This window comes from Homo sapiens, chromosome 6 (assembly GCF_000001405.40).
Source record: "Homo sapiens chromosome 6, GRCh38.p14 Primary Assembly".
Taxonomy (NCBI): Eukaryota; Metazoa; Chordata; class Mammalia; order Primates; family Hominidae; genus Homo; species Homo sapiens.
Window position 1 is genome coordinate 134,852,644 of NC_000006.12, and position 23,257 is coordinate 134,875,900.

The 23,257-nt window shown below is 43.3% G+C and overlaps 1 long non-coding RNA gene across 2 annotated transcripts in view, besides 5 other annotated features; it reads right to left on the reverse strand.

The window, feature by feature from the left end:
- The window catches only part of LOC101928277 (uncharacterized), a 205,476-nt gene that overhangs the window by 178,755 nt on the left and 3,464 nt on the right, over positions 1–23,257 (reverse strand). Inside the window, exon 2 of one of the 2 annotated variants that reach the window (XR_001744364.2) lies at positions 22,452–22,654. This is a non-coding gene — a long non-coding RNA (uncharacterized LOC101928277). Of the gene's footprint in view, positions 1–22,451; positions 22,791–23,257 lie in introns of those variants that run through there. The other variant, XR_001744363.2, reaches the window with a different exon arrangement.
- Positions 20,788–20,907: an enhancer, noted in NCBI's record as "active region_25091". NCBI's record gives its function as "activates an Ori minimal core promoter by ATAC-STARR-seq in GM12878 lymphoblastoid cells {active_cell/tissue: GM12878}" and the evidence as "EXISTENCE:reporter gene assay evidence [ECO:0000049][PMID:35858748]".
- Positions 20,918–20,967: an enhancer, noted in NCBI's record as "active region_25092". NCBI's record gives its function as "activates an Ori minimal core promoter by ATAC-STARR-seq in GM12878 lymphoblastoid cells {active_cell/tissue: GM12878}" and the evidence as "EXISTENCE:reporter gene assay evidence [ECO:0000049][PMID:35858748]".
- Positions 20,998–21,077: an enhancer, noted in NCBI's record as "active region_25093". NCBI's record gives its function as "activates an Ori minimal core promoter by ATAC-STARR-seq in GM12878 lymphoblastoid cells {active_cell/tissue: GM12878}" and the evidence as "EXISTENCE:reporter gene assay evidence [ECO:0000049][PMID:35858748]".
- Positions 21,158–21,217: an enhancer, noted in NCBI's record as "active region_25094". NCBI's record gives its function as "activates an Ori minimal core promoter by ATAC-STARR-seq in GM12878 lymphoblastoid cells {active_cell/tissue: GM12878}" and the evidence as "EXISTENCE:reporter gene assay evidence [ECO:0000049][PMID:35858748]".
- Positions 21,308–21,397: an enhancer, noted in NCBI's record as "active region_25095". NCBI's record gives its function as "activates an Ori minimal core promoter by ATAC-STARR-seq in GM12878 lymphoblastoid cells {active_cell/tissue: GM12878}" and the evidence as "EXISTENCE:reporter gene assay evidence [ECO:0000049][PMID:35858748]".

Genomic DNA, 23,257 nt, shown 5'->3' on the forward strand with positions numbered 1-23,257 from the left:
CAGAGGTTGCAGTGAGCCAAGATTGCACCACTGCACTTCAGCCTGGGCAACAGAGCGAGACTCTGTCTCTAAATGAATAAATACAGATACATATGAAAGTATTCTTTTATGTAGCAATAGAGATTAAAGAACAAAGGTGTACTTATCACCTTTTTTTTTTTTTTTTTTGGAGACAGTTTTGCTCTTGTCACCCAGGCTGGAGTACAATGGCACGATCTCGGCTCACTGCAACTTCCTTCTCCCAGGTTCAAGCAATTCTCCTGCCTCAACCTCCCGAGTAGCTGGGATTACAGGTGAAGTTTCACCATGTTGGGCGGACTGGTCTCGAACTCCTGACCTCAGGCAATCCACCCGCCTCCGCTTCCCAAAGTGCTGAGATTATAGGCGTCAACCACCGTGCCTGGCCCCTTCCTTTTTAATTGTCACAGGGGCAGAACATTCTATCATCTCTCCAGGAAAACCACCATGTTTCTGAAGGCATTAAGCTCCAAGCTGGCTAACAGTCAAGCCACAGGAAGGAGAAGGCAGAGCATGAAACATAAGCTGTGTGACTGGTACCTGAGTAAGAGCAAGCTAATTATAAAATGGACCTAGTGTTAGGTTCCACTTTTATGGGTCACTTGCTGCACTTCCATATTTGAGGGTCTAGGAAAGGTTGTGTTGTCACCCGAGTGGACTTTGCCTCTCATGCCAGTAGCTAAGAATTCCCTCTCCTTGCCCATGTGGTTTCTCTGATTACATGATTACTCAGGCTGACTGGGATTTCTTTATTCTAAATCAGCCCTCTTTATCAAAGGACCCAGTGATGATCTCTGGACATTCATTCTTTTATGGTACTGAGGCTGATAGCAGTGAGGTCACGTTCCAACCCAGCACAGTTTGAAAGGGACAAGAGGCCTACTGTACATACTGTACCTCCTCTTAAAGCTGGGTGTCACCTTGTTTTATCACCTCTCAAGCACTGAAACTTCAAAGCACACTGTAAAAGCTCAGAAACAGCTCTGTGAATCACAGAATATACATATAAACACGTTTAAACTACCTTTGGGATTAAATAAATGTAGCCTGCATTTCCAGTTGATACACAGTGACCCAGACCGATAGAACTCATGAATTAAAAACAAATGTTAATCCATTTCGGCTTCATTTCTATCCCCGAGATTTCCTAATGGTTTTGTTTCCCAATCCATTTGAACAAAACAAGATAGGTCAGCTTTCATTGTAGTCAGAATATTTTGCAGGAGCTGATGAAAAAATTATCATCATGAGGCAGATAAGAGCACACAGATGATGTCAAAACAAGGTCAAGCGAACTTGAAGTTAAGCAAACAGCTCTCAGTGGGCTGTTTTGGACATCCCTTCTCTTTACTTGTAAGAAATGTAACTTTTAATTTCTTAAGCATGCTCTTACTGCAAATGCTCAGAGATGAAAATCTCACCCCCTTCGCTTATGTTCATGAGCTTTTATCAGTTGGAGCATCCCAGGTGGACCGGGAGAAAATGCTGATCATTGCTACAATAAAGGAAACTTTAAAAAATTTTATTGATACATAATTTGTACATGTTTATGGGGTACATGTGTATTTTGAGGTATGTGTACAATGCATAATGATCAAATCAGGGTAATCAGGATAGCTATCACCTCAAACATTTATGATTTATTTGTACTGGGAACATTCCAAGTCTTCTAGTTATTTTGAAATATGCAATATATTGTTGTTAACTATAGTCACTCTATTGTACTATAGACTGCTAGAACTTATTCCTTCTATCTAACTGTATGTTTGTACCCATTAACCAACCTTTCTTCATTCCCATCTCTCCCATCACCCACCCCACACACACCCTTCCCAGCCTCTGGTAATAATCATTCTACTCTCTACACTATGCAATTAACATTTTTTAGCTCCTACACGAGTGAAAACATGTAATGCTTGCCTTTCTATGCCTGGCTTAACATAATGACCTGCAGTTCCATCCGTGTTGCTGCAAATGACAGGACTGCATTCTTTTCTATGGCTGAGTGCTATTCTATTGTGGATAGGTACCACATCTTCCTTATCTGTGTATCCACTGACGGACACTTAGGTTGATTCCATATTATGGCTATTGTGAATAGTGCTGCAATAAACATGGGGGTGCAGGTTTCCCTCTGACATACTGAGAGTTAGGGAAGCAATTCATCCAGGTCAGATGTCATTGAGCACCCACTGACACTCTGACACTCAATTTGCTGCCTTCAGGGAGGCTGTTGCTGCCACTTGGAGGCCAAAACACAAAGTTTCTCCTTGAATCCAGTAAGAACGAGGTTTATGGGTGGGTTATTATCATTTACACTGGTGATACTAAGAGCAGGTGGGGGAGTTTTACATAAACTGCTCTCCACTTTTCAAATAATTAGAGTGATCATTTTTTACTGAGTATCAGATGAGAATTGTCAACAATCCCATACTAAAGTTCAGTAGAGGAAATGTATTAAGCACCAAAGTGCCTTTTAATGTGGAATTCATGAATCTGCTATTCTCACTACTTAGAAATTCCTTAATCAGGATTTTCTCTCTTGGGGGAAAGAAGGCCTCTGTTAATGTTACTTGCAATCCCAGGAATGATTTATTTTAAGACTATTTAAAAGAAGCATGACATTTATAATTTGAAAGTAGGCTAAATACTTGCATGCAATTTTTTTTTTCTGCTGAGATCACAGATGCTGCCTTTTGTTTTTTTTTTTTTACAGCAAAGAATGCATTGAAAAATGGACAACCAATCAGACACCTAATACAAAATGGGACCTGATAGATCTATTTAGACCAGAATTTCCCATCCTTAGAACTCAGCTGGATAATTCTTTGTCGGGGGCTCTTCTGTACATTGTAGGCTATTTAGCAGCTTCCCTGCCTCTTCCCACTAGATCCCAGTAGCACTCCTGTATTAGTCCATTCTCACACTGCTATAAAGATACTACCGGAGACTGGGTAACTTATAAACAAAAGAGGTTTAATTGACTCACAGCCCTGTATGGCTGCAGAAGCCTCAGGAAACTTACAATCACGGTGAAAGCCAAAGGGGAAGAAAGGCACGTCTTACATGGTGGTAACAGAGAGAGTGAGCGAGGCAGGAATTGCCAAACACTTTTAAACCACTGGATCTCATGAGAACTCACTATCATGAGAACAGCAATCATGATCCATCACCTCCCACTAGGTCCCTCCCTCGGCACATAGGGATTACAGTTCCAGATGAGATTTGGGGCAGTGGGGGGAAAGAGCCAAACCATATCAACTCCCTTGACTGTAACGAGCAAAAATGCCCCCAGACGCCAAATATTTTCTAGGGGGCAAAACCATCCGATGACAACCACTGACTACATAAAGTTTTTGGGAGAGAAGAGGGGTTAGAAATACTATCAGCTGGCTGGGGTGGTGGCTCACACCTGCAATCCCAGCACTTTGGGAGGCCAAGGCAGGCGGATCACGAGGTCAAGAAATCAAGACCATCCTGACCAACGTGGTGGAAACCCGTCTCTACTAAAAATACAAAAATTAGCTCGGCATGGTGGCGCACACCTGTAGTCCCAGCTACTCAGGAAGCTGAGGCAGGAGAATTGCTTGAACCCAGGAGGTGGATGGTGCAGTGAGCCAAGATCGTCACTGCACTCCAGCCTGGCGACAGAGTGAGAACTCTGTCTGGAAAAAAAAAAATACAATCAGCCAGAGTATCTGAAATGGATTTCTAGTCATTAAAATAACATTTTAAATTATAGGAACAAAAAGATAGTGAGATTTGGCTAGAAAGTTAGGAGTTTCCAACCTAGGGTCTCTGTTAACACATCGCAACCTTATTTTGCAGGCTCCCAAAGGAGTAACTGACTTATGTAAAATAAAGAAATAAATTATTCTTTTTAAGATACAGTGTCTTCTAGATTAAACCATCAACTAAATAATAATCAAAACTAAATTTCAGACTAAATAATGTTAAAGCTGGTCCAAGTTTTGCTTTTTGAACATATTGCTGATAGAAATCAGAAAAATTGATTGGGCACTGTGGCTCATGCCTGTAATCCCAGCACTTTGGGAGGTCGAGGCAGGCGGATCACAAGGTCAGGAGTTCGAGACCAGCTTGGCCAATATTGTGAAACCCCATCTCTACTTAAAAAAAAAAAAATACAAAAATTAGCCAGGTATGGTGGTGCGTGCCTATAGTCCCAGCTACTTGGGAGGCTGAGGCAGGAGAATCACTTGAACCTGGGAGGCAGAGGTTACAGTGAGCTGAGATTGTGCCATTGCACTCCAGCCTGAGCAACAGAGCAAGACTGTCTCAAAAAAAAAAAAGAAATCAGAAAAATTAAAACATTAACTTCTTAGGTTTTCCCTCTAACCCCTTGAACTTGATGGCTAGTTTGGGCCTTTCTGAGTATATACCACTTGTAAAAATGTACAGCTGTGTTTCCTTTCGTGTTTTATAGATATAATAGATAAGATTATCTAGCCAAATGCTCTGGTAAATCAAATATCTCTATCAGTTTTCTCTCCTTCCCTCTCTCCTCACCCCTCAACACATGCATGCACAAATTTTCTGAGCTTTATTAAGCTGGTTTTTATTTTCTCTATAACTATTAATTTTAACCTGTGGTCATTTTTAAAAATCAGGAATCCCTTTCTTCAAACAATGTTTTATGTTGACTTACGTGAAATAATGAAATAAATTGTTCTTTTTAAGGTACACTGTCTTCTAGACTAAACCATGAACTAAATAATAATCAAATCTAAATTTCAGACTAAATAATGTTAAAGCTGGTCCAATTTTTGCTTTTTGATAGAAGCCCTGTTTTAGATAGAAGCCCAACTTGTGAAACAGGAGGATTCTTCCCCACCCCCAGAGGTATTCTTGAAGCAATTTGGAGCCACTGACATAGGAAAGGGAATTAAGCATGTTACTATAGACAACGTGAGGCATAATGATATAAACATTTTAAGGTTAAAATGATTACCTTTATATATAGCAGATTCTCAATTACCCTCAGGAAAAAAATGTATAGTTTTCAAAGACAGACATAGGCTAACATTATAAGGAGGAACAGCTCTCAGAGCTTTAAAAGAAAAACTATTGCAGTAAGAATGCTGTTTATTGGACACAGCTGCTCTTCCCTTTAGTTCAATTAGAAGTCCTCAGTGAATGTCAGTTCTCTACTGTGAGAAGCCACCTCTCAATTTAAAACCTCTCTGCAACTACATTGAATTCCCATGTTGCTGGCTCATGGCCCACCTTACCTGTTTCTCAGCAGCTTCTCCCTCCAAGACAGCACCACCTGTTCCATCAACCAGACCTCCACACTATGCTTTGGACATCTCTACAGATATTGCTCATGTCTGACGGGAATTCCCACCTCCTGGTCCCCATCAAGTCACTTGCTATGGGGTTTATTTTTTAATGTAGCCTCAAAACGTACCTGAAGTTTTTCCTGAGGATTTCTTACTGCCCCGCTTTAAGACCCCTTAGAATCTATATACTGAGTTGACCTAAATCATTGCCTTGCCTTTGAATTCTCTTCGAGGTGTTTCAGTGAGTAGTTTAATCACAGGATTATACCTAGATGACAAATTTCTCAAAGATAAAACCCTATTTTCCCCTTTATTCCCTATGTTGTGTTCATAAGATACACAATAACTTTTCAAACGCTTGCTAAAGTAGAATTGCGTGTATATATCTTAAAATAACAATGGTTATTATGCACCTAGATATAAGTAGGCCAGTCACGGAAATAACAGTTAATTCAGTTGGTAGAGTGTGATGATTAATATTATGTGTGTATTAGTCCATTCTCATGCTGCTATGAAGAAATACCTGAGACTGGGTGATTTATAAAGGAAAGAGGTTTAATTGACTCACAGTTCCGCAGGGCTGGGAGGCCTCAAGAAGTTTATAATCATGGCAGAAGGAGAAGCAAACATATCCTTCCTCACACGGTGGCAGCAAGGAGAAGTGCGGAGCAAAGTGAGGGGGGAAAGCCCCTTATAAAACCATCAGCTCTCGTGAGAACTCACTATCACGAGAGCAGCATGGAAGTAACCGCCCCCATGCTTCAATTACCTCCCACCAGGTCCCTCCCACAACATGTGGGGATTATGGGAACTACAATTCAAGATGAGATTTGGGTGGGGACACAGACAAACCATATCATTGTGTCAACCTGACAGGGCCACAGCGTGCCCAGATATTTGGGTGTTTCTGTAAGGATATTTTGGATGAGATTAACATTTAAATCAGTACACTGAGGCCAGGCGTGGTGGCTCACACCTGTAATCCTAGCATTTTGGGAGGCCTAGGAGGGTGGATCACCTGAGGTCAGAAGTTAAGACCAGCCTGGCCAACATGGTGAAACCCCATCTCTACTAAAAATACAAAAATTAGTCAGGTGTGGTGGTGCACGCCTATAGTCCCAGCTACTCGGGAGGCCAAGGATGGAGAATCACTTGAACCTGGGAGGCAGAGGTTGCAGTGAGCCAAGATCGTGCCACTGAACACCAGCCTGAGCAACAGAGCGAGACTCCATCTCAAAATTGAATTAAATTAAATAAATAAATCAGTACACTGAGGAAAGTAAATTGCCATCCATAATGTGGGGGTTCTATTCAGTCAAAAATCTGAATAGCACAAAAAGCAGACCCTCCCCCAAGTAGGAGAGCATTCTCCTGCCTGACGGGCCTCTAAACTGGAACACCTGCTCTTCCTGCATCTGCAACAACCTGCAGACTTCAGCTTTGACTTGAGACAGCCTTAGCTTCCAAAGCCAGGAGAGGCTGCCTATATTATGGGGGAGAAGGACAGACAGGTCTGGGGACCACCCACCCACATAGCCATGGGGACAGAGGTGGACCCAGGTTTTGAGGGTCCTGAGGCTTAGACCATTGTGGAGGGGCAGGAGTGTGGGGGGATACTTTTTAAGAAAAAGAATATGAAATTACAAAATTCTGGTTCAATGCTTATCTACCTTTAAGAGTGTTGGGGGAGGGAGAGAAACAGAAGGGAGAATGAGGGATGCTGACAAATTTTGACAACTAACTTTTGAAATTATTTCCAGACTTAAATGAAGTGGCAGATGCCCTCCTAAAATAAAAACAAGTCACAAGTAAAAAAGATACATGCATTTTTACAAAGACACAAAAATGTCCTCAGTAAATAAAATATGGTTAGTAGATACAAATAAAATGGCAGCTGCTTACAATCCTGGCACATTGTCAATTTCCAGTCAAATGAAAGCTGAAGATACATAACATGACTGCATCTAACACTGGAGAAGGGCACTAAATTAGCTGCCTTCAAAGTTGCTCGAGCAAATATAACCATTCACACCAGGTGGGTGTTGATAAATGCAGGCCATGGGGTAGAGAATGAGGGTGTCTTGTTTTTAATGCTTGCAATCAAGAGAATGGGTTACGTTTCCAGAAAGTCTCCTGGCTAATACATTTTATGTTTATATAAATAAAAGACAGATTTAAAGTTTGGTTTACCTGAGACTGGGAGTTAATTTTGGTTAAAACTGATTGTACTTCCTCAAGAAGCAGCAAGCTTATGTCCAAATTTCTTCTGGGTGTCACACAGGTTACTTAACACAGGTGGGAGAATAGCTATTTTGTTCTCTGCTACAGTCCTATAGCTTCTTAGAGATTCCACTTCTTCATTTTGATCCTTGAAATCTTAACTTATGGCTGAAGGATTCACAACTACTAAAGCCACTCATGGCTCTTACCCCTATTCCTTTCAAAGATGAGGTATTCTGGGGCAGATAAAAATGACAACATGACTTATTCAAGGGGACCTAGTGTCGCTGCCAATGCTGCTAAACTAGCACAGACTGAAGGTTACAGGACCCTTATTTCATCTGCTATTGACCAGCACAACTATAATTACTGAAATAAGAGCAAGTAAGGCCAGGTGTGGCGGCTCACACCTGTAATCCCAGCACTTTGTGAGGCCAAGGTAGGAGGATCACTTGAGCCCAGGAGTTTGAGACCAGCCTGGGCAAGATGGTGAGGCCCTGTCTCTACAAAAAATAAATAAATATATATATAAATTTTTAAAAATTAGCTAGGCATGGTAGTGTGTGACTATGGTCCTAGCTACTTGGGAAGGTGAGGCGAGAGGATCGCTTGAGCCCAGGAGATCGAGGCTGCAATGAGCCGTGCTGTGATCATGCCATTGCACTCCAGCCTGGGTGATGGAGCGAGACCCTGTCCCAAAAAAAAAAAAAAAGCACAAGTAAGTCCTGCTCCCTCCCCCTCCACAAAGAATAAGCATTATATTGGGAAAAGTGATACCATTGAAGAGTGACACTTTTCCCTTTATTATACACCTTATTAGGATGAACCTAAACTATGGAAGGTTGGCCTTGCTTCTGTATTCAGTACCCACTATGAGGCGTTCTTTCAATTGATTCCCCATTGCATTGCAGAGCCTAGGTGAAAAAACACGCAGAGCTGGAGTCCAAGGAATGAGAAGGAATATACAAATGAAAATTATGACAGTGATTACAGGCCACCAGAAATAGGAACCCTGGCTTCCATTAGAACCTCCCCTCTCAGCTGGGCGCGGTGATTCACGCCTGTAATCCCGGCACTTTGGGAGGCGGAGGTGGGTGGATCACGAGGTCAGGAGATCGAGACCATCCTGTCTAACACGGTGAAACCCTGTCTCTACTAAAAATACAAAAAATTAGCCAGGCGTGGTGGCAGGCGCCTGTAGTTCCAGCTTCTCGGAAGGCTGAGGCAGGAGAATGGCGTGAACCTGGGAGGCGGAGCTTGCAGTAAGCCGAGATGGCGCCGCTGCACTCCAGCCTGGGCAACAGAGAGAGAGACTGCCTCAAAAAAAAAAAAAAAAAAAAGAACCTCCCCTCTCATCAGTGTCATTACAATTACAAATCACCTACTACAGGCTGGGCGTGGTGGCTCACGCCTGTAATCCCAACACTTTGGGAGGCCAAGGCGGGTGGATCGCCTGAGGTCAGGAGTTCAAGACCAGCCTGGCCAGCATGGTGAAACCCTTTCTCTAATAAAAATACGAAAATTAGCCAGGCATAGTGGCAGGCGCCTGGAATTCCAGCTACTCAGGAGGCTGAGGCAGGAGAATCACTTGAACCAGAGAGGCAGAGATTGCAGTGAGCTGAGATTGCGCCACTGCACTCCAGCCTGGGTGACAGAGAGAGACTCCATCTCAAAGGAAAAAAAAATTATCTACTACAATCAATCTTTCTGCAGCCTTGGAATAATGTGCATGGTGGGCTTGTAAAGTAATGCACTTGTTCAACATGCCCCAGATTTGGTGTGTGTGTGAGAGAGAGAGTGTGTCCATAAGCTATAAATTGTCATTTATAGCATTTATGCTCTACAAAGTCTCTGCAAACACTGAATTAGTGAATAATAAAGCATTGCTCCTAAGTTCCTGCAAGTCTCTGGTCACAATGTCTGTTAACCAATCAACATATAACCTTGTTTTATGTGTGTATCTGTTTAAAGACACCTTATGTAATATATATCGCTGATACATTACCATTGAACTCACAGCCAGCAGCACTATACCTCCTAACTGATTGAAGTTAACACATGCAATTTCTCTGTAAGGTACCTCACAGCCTTTGTGGGCTTTCTAACACTAGGCAGCTCTTCAGCACTATGCTTGGGGCTATTTTAAACATTGAGGTCACCAAAAAGCACAAAAATGCGGAAAATGTCGCACAAAATAGACATGTGTTTACATATGAGACCTAAAGCAAGAAGACAAGAGTGTCACCTTGTTTGACTTCAGCTGGGAAAAGGCACAATGAGCATCTCAAATCCGTTACTGCTCTGCACATGTCCGTGAAGGACAACAAAAGCATGCAAGTGTTGATTTGGAGGTTACAAATAAATTTTTGTGAGTAGGCAAGTACACAATTACAGTATTGCAAAGTATGAGTATCAACTACATATATATAAATATATAAAATCAGTGTCATCACTTGATAGTCACATTATGATTCAATCCATATTTTTGGATGCCTACTATTGGCTGCAGGGTTCTATGGTAGATGCTTAAAGGGTACAAAAAATAGAATTCACAATAGCTTTCCTCAAGGAATGCACAGATTATCAGGGGGTCAAAGCATTTGTATAAAACGATAACAAGTAAAGCCAGGAGAAAGCTAACATTGACTAGATTCATGAAGATAATGTATGTTTTATACAAAAGTACAGTTTTATACAGTAAACGTTTTATAAAAGTTCTTAAAACTTAGTTTTATTTTATTTTTATTTTATTTCATTTCATTTTATTTTTTTGAGACTGAGTCTCACCCTGTCGCCCAGGCCAGAGTGCAGTGGCATGATCTCGGCTCACTGCAACCTCCGCCTCCTGGGTTCAAGCGATTCTCCTGCCGCAGCCTCCCAAATAGCTGGAATTACAGGCATGCACCACCACACACGGCTAATTTTTGTATTTTTAGTGGAGACGGGGTTTCACCACGTTGGCCAGGCTGGTTTTGAACCCCGACCTCAGGTGATCTTCCGGCCTCAATCTCCCAAAATGCTAGGATTACAGGCGCAAGCCACCGTGCCCTGCCAAAAGTTATAGTTTTATAAAAGTTACAGTTTACTCCCATTATAGCTATTTCATGAATTGTTTTACATAGACTTTGGAAGGAGAAAAAAGAATTTAGATCTGCACTGTCCAATTATGATAGACATTAGCCACCTGTGGCTATTAAAATTAAAGCCTGGCTCTATGGCTCACTTCTATAACCATAACCAAGGTAGGAGGATCCCTTGAGCCCAGGAGTGTGAGACTGCGGTAAGCGATGATTGTACCACTGCACTCCAGCCTGGACACAAGAGCAAGACCCTGTCTATAAACAAACAAAAAATTAAAATTAAAATGAATTAACCTAAAAGTTCAGTTCCGCTAGTCACATTTCAAGTGCTTCATAGTGACATGTGGCTGGTGGTCACTGTATTGGGCTGTGTAGATATATTTCCATCAACCCAGGAAGTTCTATTGGACAGTACTGACTGAAATTCTATAATTTGTATGTATCAAAACCAATTAGGAAACAATCTTAAGTGCCAAAATGTTTCCCATTGGGAATTATTAAAACTATAAATTACACGGACTATTTTACGTTTTACCTTACACACTTGAAAAGGGGAATTTCAAGCTCACCACTTCCCACCCACCAGCAATATAGACAGCAACAGTCCAGAAACACCATGAACTTTCCACAAGGTCCTCAGACATGACAAATAAACAGAAATCTCCTGACACTGTGTGCTCAGTGAGGGTTCATTACACATCAAAAACAAACATACTCCGTTTTTCTGACTGCTTCTCTATCATTGGTGTTAGTTAATTCTCTCAGAGGCAGTAAACGTTTACGTGTACTCTATGAGCCCTGGAGAATGAATCCGAAGACAAGACTGTCTGATGATCAGATTTATCACAATGTCATTGATCACTTATTATGTAAACTGTATATCACAAGGATCAAGAACTTGGGCTTGAACTGTGCTCCCACTCACTTCTATGGAGCTGCCCAAGTGCCCCAGAAATTTCCAGACACCATCCCACCTACTCTGGAGCTCCGAACCTTGGGTAGCTTCTCCAGCTTAAGTTCCCTTTGCTATCAGCTGTACATACAGCAGCCAATTTGTGAGGAACTGGGGATGGCGAGGGTGAGTCTCCACAAAGCCCACAGTGCTCAGGCCCTGACCAGGAACTAACGCACAGGTCTACTGTTTTTTCAGATCCTCAAATAGAAAAAGGTATTCCACAATATGTCAATTTCGATCTCACCCTTTCATTGCCAAATTCTCTTCTCACTCCCACCCCGGGGAATGAAACCACTCCAGAAGTAGACACACTTTGGAAGGCTGTCTTGCACTTGGACCTGTAGCTCTTAAGCTTGGAATATTAAGAACTTGCTATCTTTGTCCCCAAGTACAGTTCTGATAACTTCCCCAAATCTCCCACCCAATTTGAGGTATAGTCAAACGAAGAAGAAAAAAACATGCAGGTTGATATCTCAAATTTATGACACCACCACAGACATCAACCTGTAGAGCCAGTCAGTGCTTCTTTAAACATTCAGATTAGTGACCAGTCTTACTTGAAGTAGTATATCACGTTGTTCCAATACCTGAAAAGTAGTTTATCAGGTTGTTCCAATACCTGAACAGTTTTCTATCCCATTATGATTAGCAGCCTAAAGGATATAAGGAAGTAACTAACTTGAAGCTAAAAAGGTAGATTTGGGCTGGGCACAGTGGCTTACGCCTGTAATCCCAACACTTGGGAAGACTGAGGTGGGCAATCACTTTGAGCTCAGGAGTTCAAGACCAGCCTGGGCAACATGGCAAAACCACGTCTCTACAAAAATACAAAAATTAGCCAGGCATAGACGTGCCCACCTGTAGTCCCAGATGGAGACTCACTTGAGCCTGGGAAAGCGGAGGTTGAGATGAGCTGAGATCGTACTGTACTCCAGTCTGGGTGACAAAATGAGGCCCTGTCTCAAAAAAAAAAGTAGATTTGATCAGATCAACAAGATTAATATACTTTGGCTTTGGCTTACAAAATGGGCACATCTCTCATGCCCTGGTGTACAGTATATCTCTTTAAAAAATTTTTTTACTTAATTTAGTCCTGAACTTCTAAATCTGACACTATCAAGGAGTTAACTTTTTTTTTTTTTTTTTTGAGACGGAGTCTTCCTCTGTCGCCCAGGCTGGAGTGCAGTGGCGCGATCTCAGCTCACTGCAAGCTCTGCCTCCTGAGTTCACGCCATTCTCCTGCCTCAGCTTCCCAAGTAGCTGGAACTACAGGCACCCACCACCATGCCCGGCTAATTTTTTGTATTTTTTTTATTTAGTAGAGGCTGAGTTTCACCGTGTTAGCCAGGATGGTCTCGATTTCCTGACCTCGTGATCCTCCCGCCTCAGCCTCCCAAAGTGCTGGGATTACAGGCGTGAGCCACCGACCTCGGCAACTTTTTTCTTAAGCTTCATCATCCAAGAGATGCTGCCAAACTCTGATAGATTTAGTTTGAAGAAAGACATAATACGGATTCTATATGTGATTAAAGCACATTAAGTAGGAGCTCAGGGAACCTACCTTCACTAGTAACTAAGTTCAACATAGTGCCCTCACCACACATATTCTTCAAAAGAAAGGACAAATAAAATTTTTTAAATTAAGTCCCAATTGTAAACTTTTCTGAATATGCAATTTCTTATCAGCTATGCACAATTTTTTTGAGCACAACTAACTTTCGTAACTGAACACAGTTGCATCATTGCCTGCCCTCACCTAGGACATAAAAAGTGATTTTCATTCAAAACGTAAGATAGCAGATTGAGTAGGAAATTTGAAATTTGAAATATAATAGTAGCAACATTTTTATTTTATTGGTTACTGGTAAGAAACTCCAAGAACTGGCAGGGCGCGGTGGCTCACGCCTGTAATCTCAGCACTTTGGGAGGTTGAGGTGGGCGGATCACGAGGTCAGGAGATGGAGACCATCCTGGCTAACAAGGTGAAACCCCGTCTCTACTAAAAATACAAAAAAGTAGCCAGGCATGGTGGTGGGCACCTGTAGTCCCAGCTACTTGGGAGGCTGAAGCAGGAGAATGGTGTGAACCTGGGAGGCGGAGCTTGCAGTGAGCCAAGATCGTGCCACTGTACTGCAACCTGGGTGACAGAGCAAGACTCAGGAAGGAAGGAAGGCAGGAAGGAAGGAAGGGAGGGAGGGAGGGAGGGAGTCTAGAACGAGTTCCATCTCCAGGTATTATATTTTGCAGGAAACAATAAAGGGGGTTGTGATCAGTATTTTCGGTGATGGAACAGTCTGATTGTTCATATCACTCATTTGTGAGTTACAGATGGGCAGAGTTCACATAGGTGACAATATTGCCAAAGGAAGATGCTGTCTTACTAGAGTGTGTGTGTGTGTGTGTGTGTGCTCTTCAGCAGCCAGCCTAGAAGGATATTTTCTTATACTTCTTGGTCTCTTGGCCTCTGACTATTTAGCATTGGTTTGCAGTTTTCCAGCCTCTGAGCCTGCAGTGCTCACTGTGTGAGGAAGCTGTCACTCAGATGTGCATGCGCTTCTTCCTCACAGGCTGCTGTGGACACGTATCATTTCTATTTCTGTGTCACTGAGTCTGTTTATACCTGGCATCCTTTAGAGTAGGATTTTAATGATTTTCTGTTAAAGAATTTGTAAAACATTATAGTTACAAAACATGCACATTAGGGGGTGATTATATAAAAGCATTCATCTTAGATCATTCAAATAACCAGTACATACTATATTTTCCTTAAAGCATTCACCTAGCGCACACACTCACAGCATTTTTTCACCCCCTCTGTATGACAAAATTGCTTTTAGTAAAAATAGAAAATGAAACAAATAGTAATAGGCAAAATAAATGCAGACAGTTAGACTCTTATTGAATTTTATATCTATAACTATGCCAGTAAAAATTAAAAAGAAGTGATTTTAATAAAGCCAAAACATCTACAAAAGTTAAAATTTCAGTGACTTCTAAATAATACCACTGATATTATAGTGTTTTCTTTTCTTGAATGTTGCACCTTGCAGCTAGCACAGTTTCACTGTTTTTAATCTAAACACAAATAAAAGCAAAGTGGTCACAATAAAATGAAGAATAGACATTAACTCAAGTTCTGTTTCTTCATCGTTATTATCTCTAAACTATCATGTTTATTTCAAATCTAGAATTTAAATGCGGTATATGTAGTTTCCCAGGGGTCGGAGACACTCAATTTGTCAGAAGGGAGCTTGAACTCTACACTGTTATGAGCTTATGCTAGAAACAAACACATATAGCTAAATTCACATGTGTTGGGAGCCAACTGGATAATTGAGAATTTTCTGAATTAACTACCAACGAGAATACTCGTTGGTTTGGTTGGTTGGTTGGTTGATTTTGAGATGAAGTCTCACTCTTGTCCCCCAGGCTGGAATGCAATGCCACGATCTCGGCTCACTGCAACCTCTACCTCCCGGGTTCAAGCAATTCTCCTGCCTCAGCCTCCCAAGTAGGTGCGATTACAGGCACCTGCCATCATGCCCGGCTAATTTTTGGAGGACACAATGTTTATTAAATGACAAGCAATAAATATATGTAAATTTGGAGATAACATACATATTATTAAAACTTAGTAGTGGCCATAAAAATTGTTTGGAACTTAAACCAACAACAGATTTTCTTTAAGGAATATTTTATCATGGACATTTTTTAGAAATGCTAGCTCATGGTAATAATAAAAAGTGGTTGACTTGCAGTCAGTTTTCTTATGGTTTTTCAATCCTTTATAGACAACGCATCTCTGTATTGCTGCACAGAGGGCTGACCGCTCCTAGCTCACTGCTGGTACACCACTAAGTTCTACTGATGGATTTAATGCAATAGAAGGTTGCAGAAACTCAATTTGCATGCAAGTTTTAAAATAGAATAGATTCTCAATGGTCTATCCAGGTCTCCACTGGACTTTAGACAGTTTCATTTAAAGATATAATGTATTAGGATTAACCCAACAAGTCCAATACTAAAATTCGACTTTACAGATGTGTTTTTAAAAGATTGTAGGTCCAGGCGCGGTGGCTCACACCTGTAATCCCAGCACTTTGGGAGGCCAAGGTGGGTGGACCACCTGGGGTCAGGAGTTCCAGACCAGCCTGGCCAACATGGCAAAACCCCAACTCTACTAAAAACAAAAAATCAGCCAGGCGTGGTGGTGCATGCCTGTAATCCCAGCTACTTGGGAGGCTGAGGCAGGAGAATTGCTTGAACCCAGGAGGCAGAGGTCGCAGTGAGCTGAGATCATGCCACTGCACTCCAGCCTGGGTGACAGAGTGAGACTCCATCCCCCACAAAAAGATTGTATCATATCTTTAATTATAAAGATTTTTTTAAATGACCTAAATAACTGTCAATAGAGGAAATGTTAAATAATGTGTAACTATTCTATACAGCCAATTAAAAGGATTGAGATATATATATTTACATAGAAATCTCTGCAAGTTATATTGTGAAGGGAAAATAAATTATATTTTATAAAAAACAAATTATATAGACTTTCATCTCATCCATGTAAAAAACTTTAAAAAGGTGTGTGTATATGTGCATTATCATATAAGTAGATGATGCTTGTCAACTTAGAGATTACCACCACCTGTGGGGGTGGGGTTAATGAAGACGAATGTCGACGTTTTGTTCTATAAATGTCTCTATTGCTTGAATTGTTACATTGAGAATATATTACATTAATATATATACACATTAATAAATACATTATATATTACTATACATTATATATACAGTATATATTAATATACATTAATATATTACATAATTTGAAAAAAGCAACATAAATGGGGAACATAAATTATAAAATATATAGTGTGCTATTCTACATAATGTCTGTGTTTTGAAATTCTTTGTTTAAAAATTTATAATTGTTCAAAAAAATTTTTAAGGCCAGGAATGGTGTCTCATGCCTGCAATCCCAGCCTTCAAGAGGCCTAGGCGGGAAGATAGTCATTTGAGGCCAGAAGTTCCAGAACAGCCTACACAACATGGCAAGACCCCCATCTCTACAAAATAAAATATATATATTAGCTGCGCATCACCAGCCTCCCAGGTAGCTGTAGTAGCTGTAGTCCCAGCTACCTGGGAGGCTGAGGCGGGAGGATCGCTTGAGCCCAGGAAGTCAAGGCTGCAGTGAGCTATGATCCCACCACTGTACTCCAGCCTGGGCAACAGAGTGAGACCCTACCTCAAAAATTTTTAAAAATAAAATTAAAATTTTAAATGAAAAATAAAGATATATAAGGGATCTTGATTGGCACTTATTCCATTTTAAGAAGTTGGGTACTAATTTGCAATTTAACTAGTTTTCCATGATAACTTATTTATGATACTTCTTTCATTCCATAATTTCTCTAACCACTTTTAGAAACTATTAATATTTTCATCAAAGCCCACATTAGGGGCTTATAAGTACCACAACTTTAATAGCTGCTGTTTATTATCTCTATATATTTCTCTCTTCAAACTTTGTTCTTTCAAGTATTACGGGCCAGCTCCTGGGTTCTAGATGCCAAGATTTGGTTATATGATTTTGGTCAAATTTCAGGAGTATATTCAGAGAACTTCAATGAAACCATGTTAGTTGGCCGGGGGTGTGGCTCATGCCTGTAATCCTAGCACTTCGGGAGGCTGAGGCAGGTGGATCACTTGAGGTGAGGAGCTCAAGACCAGCCTGGCCAACATGGTGAAACCCCGTGTCTACTAAAAATGCAAAAATTATGGCCGGGCATGGTGGCTCACGCCTGTAGCCCTAGCACTTTGGAATGCCGAGGTGGGCAGACTGCCTGAGCTCAGGAGTTCGAGACTAGCCTGGGCAACATGGTGAAAACCCGTCTCAACTAAAAATACAAAAAATTAGCCGGGCATGGTGGCACACGCCTCTAGTACCAGCTACTCGTGAGGCTGAGGCATGAGAATCGTTTGAGCCCAGGAGGTGGAGGTTGCAGTGAACCATGATCGTGCCACTGCACTCCAGCCTGGGCAATAGAGTGAGATACTGTTTCAAAAAAAAAATTAGTGGGGCGTGGTGGCACAAGCCTGTAATCCCAGGTACTCAGGAGGCTGAGGCAGGAGAATCACTTGAACCTGGGAGGCAGAGGTTGCAGTAAGCCGAGATTGGACCACTGCATTCCAGCCTGAAAGACAGAGCAAGACTGTCTCAAAAACAACATAAAACAAAAAACAAAAAAAAAGAAGAAAAGAAGGAAAACAAGAAACCACGTTAGTTGTTCTGTCATTTTTAGTTAATTTTTTCATTCTCACCTTATGTTGCTAATTCGACATAAAACTAATTTGAGAAAGGATAAAATAAGCTTCAAGCTATAACTGAAGCTTTATTTGCAAATAGTAAGCCAACATATCCAATAGTTCAGACGCTGTGACAATGTATCAGGATTCTAGGATCACCAGGCTGCCTTCACTTTGCATCTGAAACCCGGAGTGAGTGAACAGCAGCAGGGCCCTCCACTGAGAACACAAACACACCTGTGCTTCCTATTTATAGTCACCTGCTGACTAATAATACCCCCACAATGACTTTCCCGTCAAACTTCTTTACTGTAATGTTTTAACCTATGAAATTCCCACTGTAACATAAATGTGTTTATCCCAATCTGTCTGTAACTGGGTGTAAACTGGGAGGTGCTGGAACCAGTTCGCATCAGCTTGCAAGAGCTGGGTAGCATCTCTTCCCAAAGTATGTTCAATGATGTTACACTTTTGGTTTAAAATCAGCATGGTAAAAATATTTACACCACAGAAAATGGCAAACGCTACAAATCAGGGCTTCCTAGACCCCACCTCCACCAGAGCTGAGCTTTAAACATTGACCGGCACAGCACTGGATACATACATCTGTTATTGCTTAACACAAGAAACTTCATCCACACTCCTTCCTGTTCTAGATTGAGTGCACCTGGTGAAAACCACAAGGATGCTTGTCCATGAAGATTTAAAGGTACAGAGTTCACTTAGAGATTAGCAACGGGGACATATTCTATATCCTCACCCCATAAGGTATGCAGGAGGAGAAATTATGCCAAAGTATGCTAGAATCCATGTAACTGCTTTCAGTGTCCAGGATAAGAAATCAAACATCCTCTGAGCTATGACTGTGTCTTAGTCAGTGTCAGGTTCTAACTGAGGTCTGAGGGGAGTCAGTGGGTGAGTGGTGGGTAGCTGGAAAAACACTCGAGGAATCGTAGACAGTTTCGACATGGCTTTACTCTCCCTCTGGGCACGAGTGAGCCCAGGTGCAAGCTGTATGTACAGCATCAGTAGGGTAATTATACCTTGTACAGACAATAGTGGGTCCGAGCCAAGCACAAGCTCATGTGGGTGATCACCTAATGCGCCTCACATGGTGTGATTACATAATGTGTGGAGTTGTGCTCCTGTGCTCCAAACTTGCTCAGTCATGCTGGACTGGATATCTACCTTGGCCTATTCTTTTTTTTTTTTTTTTTTTTTTTTTTGAGACGGAGTCTCGCTCTGTCGCCCAGGCCGGACTGCGGACTGCAGTGGCGCAATCTCGGCTCACTGCAAGCTCCGCTTCCCGGGTTCACGCCATTCTCCTGCCTCAGCCTCCCGAGTAGCTGGGACTACAGGCGCCCGCCACCGCGCCCGGCTAATTTTTTGTATTTTTAGTAGAGACGGGGTTTCACCTTGTTAGCCAGGATGGTCTCGATCTCCTGACCTCATGATCCACCCGCCTCGGCCTCCCAAAGTGCTGGGATTACAGGCGTGAGCCACCGTGCCCGGCCTTTGGCCTATTCTTGACTGCAGCAAATCCATTTTCCTTACACTCCACCCCCTAGGCTGAGCGAGACATAGGCTTTGGACACACAGGTCTGACATATAGGCCTTACATTCCACCCTGTAGGCCAAGGGAGTTCTAGTGGGAGACATGCCTGCAGGGCAGAACCCTGGATCCAGAGGCCACAGCAGTACTACAGGGAGCAACAACTCCAGGTTATGGCGGGCAACCACCCCAAGGTGACGTTACCCCAATGCTGCTTTATACATTAAGCCAGGTTTTTATTTTCCTACCTTTAGGGGCATTGGGGCAGGCAACAACAGGTTACCTTTTGTCCCCACACGTGGTTGGAGAAGGTCATCCTTCCTCCTTCAGGTCTTTCCCTATGGCTTGGCCCCACATGGAATGGTGACTAACTAGCTACTTCTGTAACTTGCAGGTAGTTAACCACAAGGTTAAGCCTCAATAAACTGCCCAGCTATTGGTGCAGATTACCATAGGTGTCACCACCTTGGTCATCACCATTCACACTGCCCTGAGTTCAGCCCATTAGCTACTTTGTCCATACCCGGTTTCAAACCATATGGTGCCAGTACTAGGTTGGACTGCAACAGCAGTCCAAGCAGCAGTAGCACCTTGGCTAGACCCATGACTAGGGGTGCCTCAGGTCCCATGGCCTTCTCTTGCATTAAGATTACAGATCCCGGCCGGGCGCTGTGGCTCACGCCTGTAATCCCAGCACTTTGGGAGGCCGAGGCGGGCGGATCACGAGGTCAGGAGATCGAGACCATCCTGGCTAACACAGTGAAACCCCGTCTCTACTAAAAAACACAAAAAAATTAGCCGGGCGTGGTGGCGGGCGCCTGTAGTCCCAGCTACGCGGGAGGCTGAGGCAGGAGAATGGCGTGAACCCGGGAGGCGGAGCTTGCAGTGAGCCGAGATCGCGCCACTGCACTCCAGCCTGGGCGACAGAGCGAGACTCCGTCTCAAAAAAAAAAAAGAATACAGATCCTGGCTGGGCGTGGTGGCTCATGCCTGTAATCCCAGCACTTTGGGAGGCCAAGGCAGGCAGATCACGAGGTCAGGAGATAGAGACCATCGTGGCTAACATGGTGAAACCCCATCTCTACTAAAAATACAAAAAATTAGGAAGGCATGGTGGCGGGCGCCTGTAGTCCCAGCTACTTGGGAGGCTAAGGCAGGAGAATGGCGTGAACCTGGGAGGCGGAGCTTGCAGTGAGCCGAGATTGTGCCACTGCACTCCAGCCTGGGCGACAGAGCGAGACTCCATCTCAAAAAAAAAAAAAGACTACAGGTCCCAAGACCTCTTGCAACTCTGCTGTTAAGGGGCTTGTACTCAGTGTACTCTGCTGCTCTAAGTAGGTGCCCCACTTTGCTAAAGGGATGTCTGCACTGTCCCAGGCTGGGGGATCCATAGCCATAAATGTACCCATGTTGCTATTGAGTAAGTCATCAGCATGATGACTATAGCTCATCTTGCCACACTCTCATGAGCCTGAGGGGCAGTATATGTAGTTACTAACTGCTTCTCTATCAATGAATACCAGAGCTCAGCTCTCTTCTAAAGTTGGGACCAAAAGCCTACTGGTGTTCTAAAGTGCTCCATGCACAGCCACAGGCCCCAGTCAAACCCATCTGTGGTCACATGCATATAAAATTCAAATGGGCACCCTTGGTCAATCACTCATAGAGCCTGCATCTGCTGAATAGCCCGGTTGGCTGCCAGGAAGGCAGTTTCAGCCGCACTATCTCAATCCCAGGCAAGAGAGGCATTGCTGCTTCTAAATCTGCAAGGGAGTCAGAGGTTAACATAATATCATCAACAAGACCATGACATAAGGTGGGGCTATGCATGTAGTCCTGTGGCAGCACTGTGAAAATCCATTGTTGCCCTCTCCTGAAGGCAAACTGTTCCTGGCTCTCTAGAGCAATGTCAATTGAGAAGAATGCATTGGCCAAGTCCACTACATAGGGGTACTGTCCCAGTTCTGTTGTCAAGCAGTCCACCAAACCCATGATAGACGGCACAGCTGCCAACCCGTGTAAAACTTCCACCCCCCAGAATGTATTCAGGTATGGGAGAGATATACATAGTGCATAAGCAGGAAGCCAAGCGGCCGATGCCAAGGTGCAGAGATACAGGTTTCACTTTCACTCACCGGCCTCCATGGCCATCTATGCAGCCTTGCCTGGAAACTTATCCAGATGCAGGGACCAGTGGATTGCCAAGTCTGCATATGGCCTCTGGTCATCCAGTATCCCCCCAAGCCAGGCACCTGGGCCATTTCCCTAATCAAACAGAAAAGGCTTTACACCTCCACCTGGCTGTAGCAAGTAGTATTTGAGCTGCAGCACCCGGGTGGGACGGGGTTGCACAGCAATGTCCTTCTCCCCCTTGGACATTTCTGGAATTGCTGCTCTGAAAACAACTATCTCCACAAAGTTAAGAGTACTTCATTGGGCTTCTTATCAATTTTCTCTTGGTCAACCCCAACCAAAATGAAATCTATCCACATCTGTGAGCGTGATGGACCCAGGCCTGCATTCACAGCAGCCTCTAATTCCTTTTCCAAGCTCTGTAGCCAGGCCTCCAAGCACCCTGCCCACACCTGGAGGTCCCCATTCACAGCAGCTTCTAACTCCTTTTCTTTGTTTTTTTTTTGTTTTTTTTTGTGGGGGGGTTGTTTTTGAGACGGAGTCTTCCTCTGTCACCCAGGCTGAAGTGCAATGGTGCAATCTCGGCTCACTGCAAACCCCACCTCCCAGGTTCAAGCTATTCTCCTGCCTCAGCCTCCCAAGTAGCTGGGATTACAGGCATGCACCACCACGCCCGGCTAATTTTTGTATTTTTAGTAGAGACAGGGTTTCACCATGTTGGTCAGGCTGGTCTCAAACTCCTGACCTTGTGATCCACCCACCTCAGCCTCCCAAAGTGCTGGGATTACAGGCATGAGCCACCACACCCGGCCTTCTAACTCCTTTTCTGAGCTGTGTAGCTGGGCCCCTGGGTGCTCCATCTGTACCTGGAGGGCCCTTACCTGCACTGCATCCTTCAGGAACTGGGTGTGTACTTCTTGTAGCACAGTCAAAAATGCCCATCGAAATCTGCAGGCAAAAGCTCGCTCCTTCTCAGTTCTCTGCACTTCCAGTTGCTTCATTGCCTTCTCCATGCTCATGAGGGACCCATCCACCACCAGCCAGGTTTCCATCAGAGCCCATTCCAGCAGCACAGCTCAGGATCCTGTTCATAACACCAATCGTCAGGTTCTAACTGAGGTCTGAGGGGAGTAAGTGGGTGAGTGGCTGGTAGCTGGAAAAACACTCAAGGAATCGTAGACAGTTTTGACATGGCTTTACTCCCTCTCTGGGTGCAAGCCATACGTACAGCATCAGCAGGGTAATTATACCTTTTACAGACAATAGTGGCTCCAAGCCAAGCAAGAGTTCACATGGGTGATCACCTAATGTGCCTCACATGGTGTGGTTACATAATGTGTGGGGTTGTGCGCCTGTGCTCCAAACTTGCTGAGTCATGCTGGACCAGATGTCTGCCTCAGCCTATTCTTGACCACAGCACATCCATTTTCCTTACAATCAGAATCCCCACAATAGCACACGCAAAGCTTTAACTGAGAACAGTTTAATGAAGACTATTTGCAGAGCTGTGGGCAGAGTTGAGGGAAACAACAAGGAATGGGGAAGCATCCAAGAACTAGCAACAGAGGAGACAGGAGCCATTGCGGTCCCCAGGCCTGCAGGGTCAAAGGGAAAGGATGCTGTTCTTGGAACCAACCAATGGGAGTGCTAGCCACAGGGAGAGGATTTTCCAAAACTGTGGCAAGGT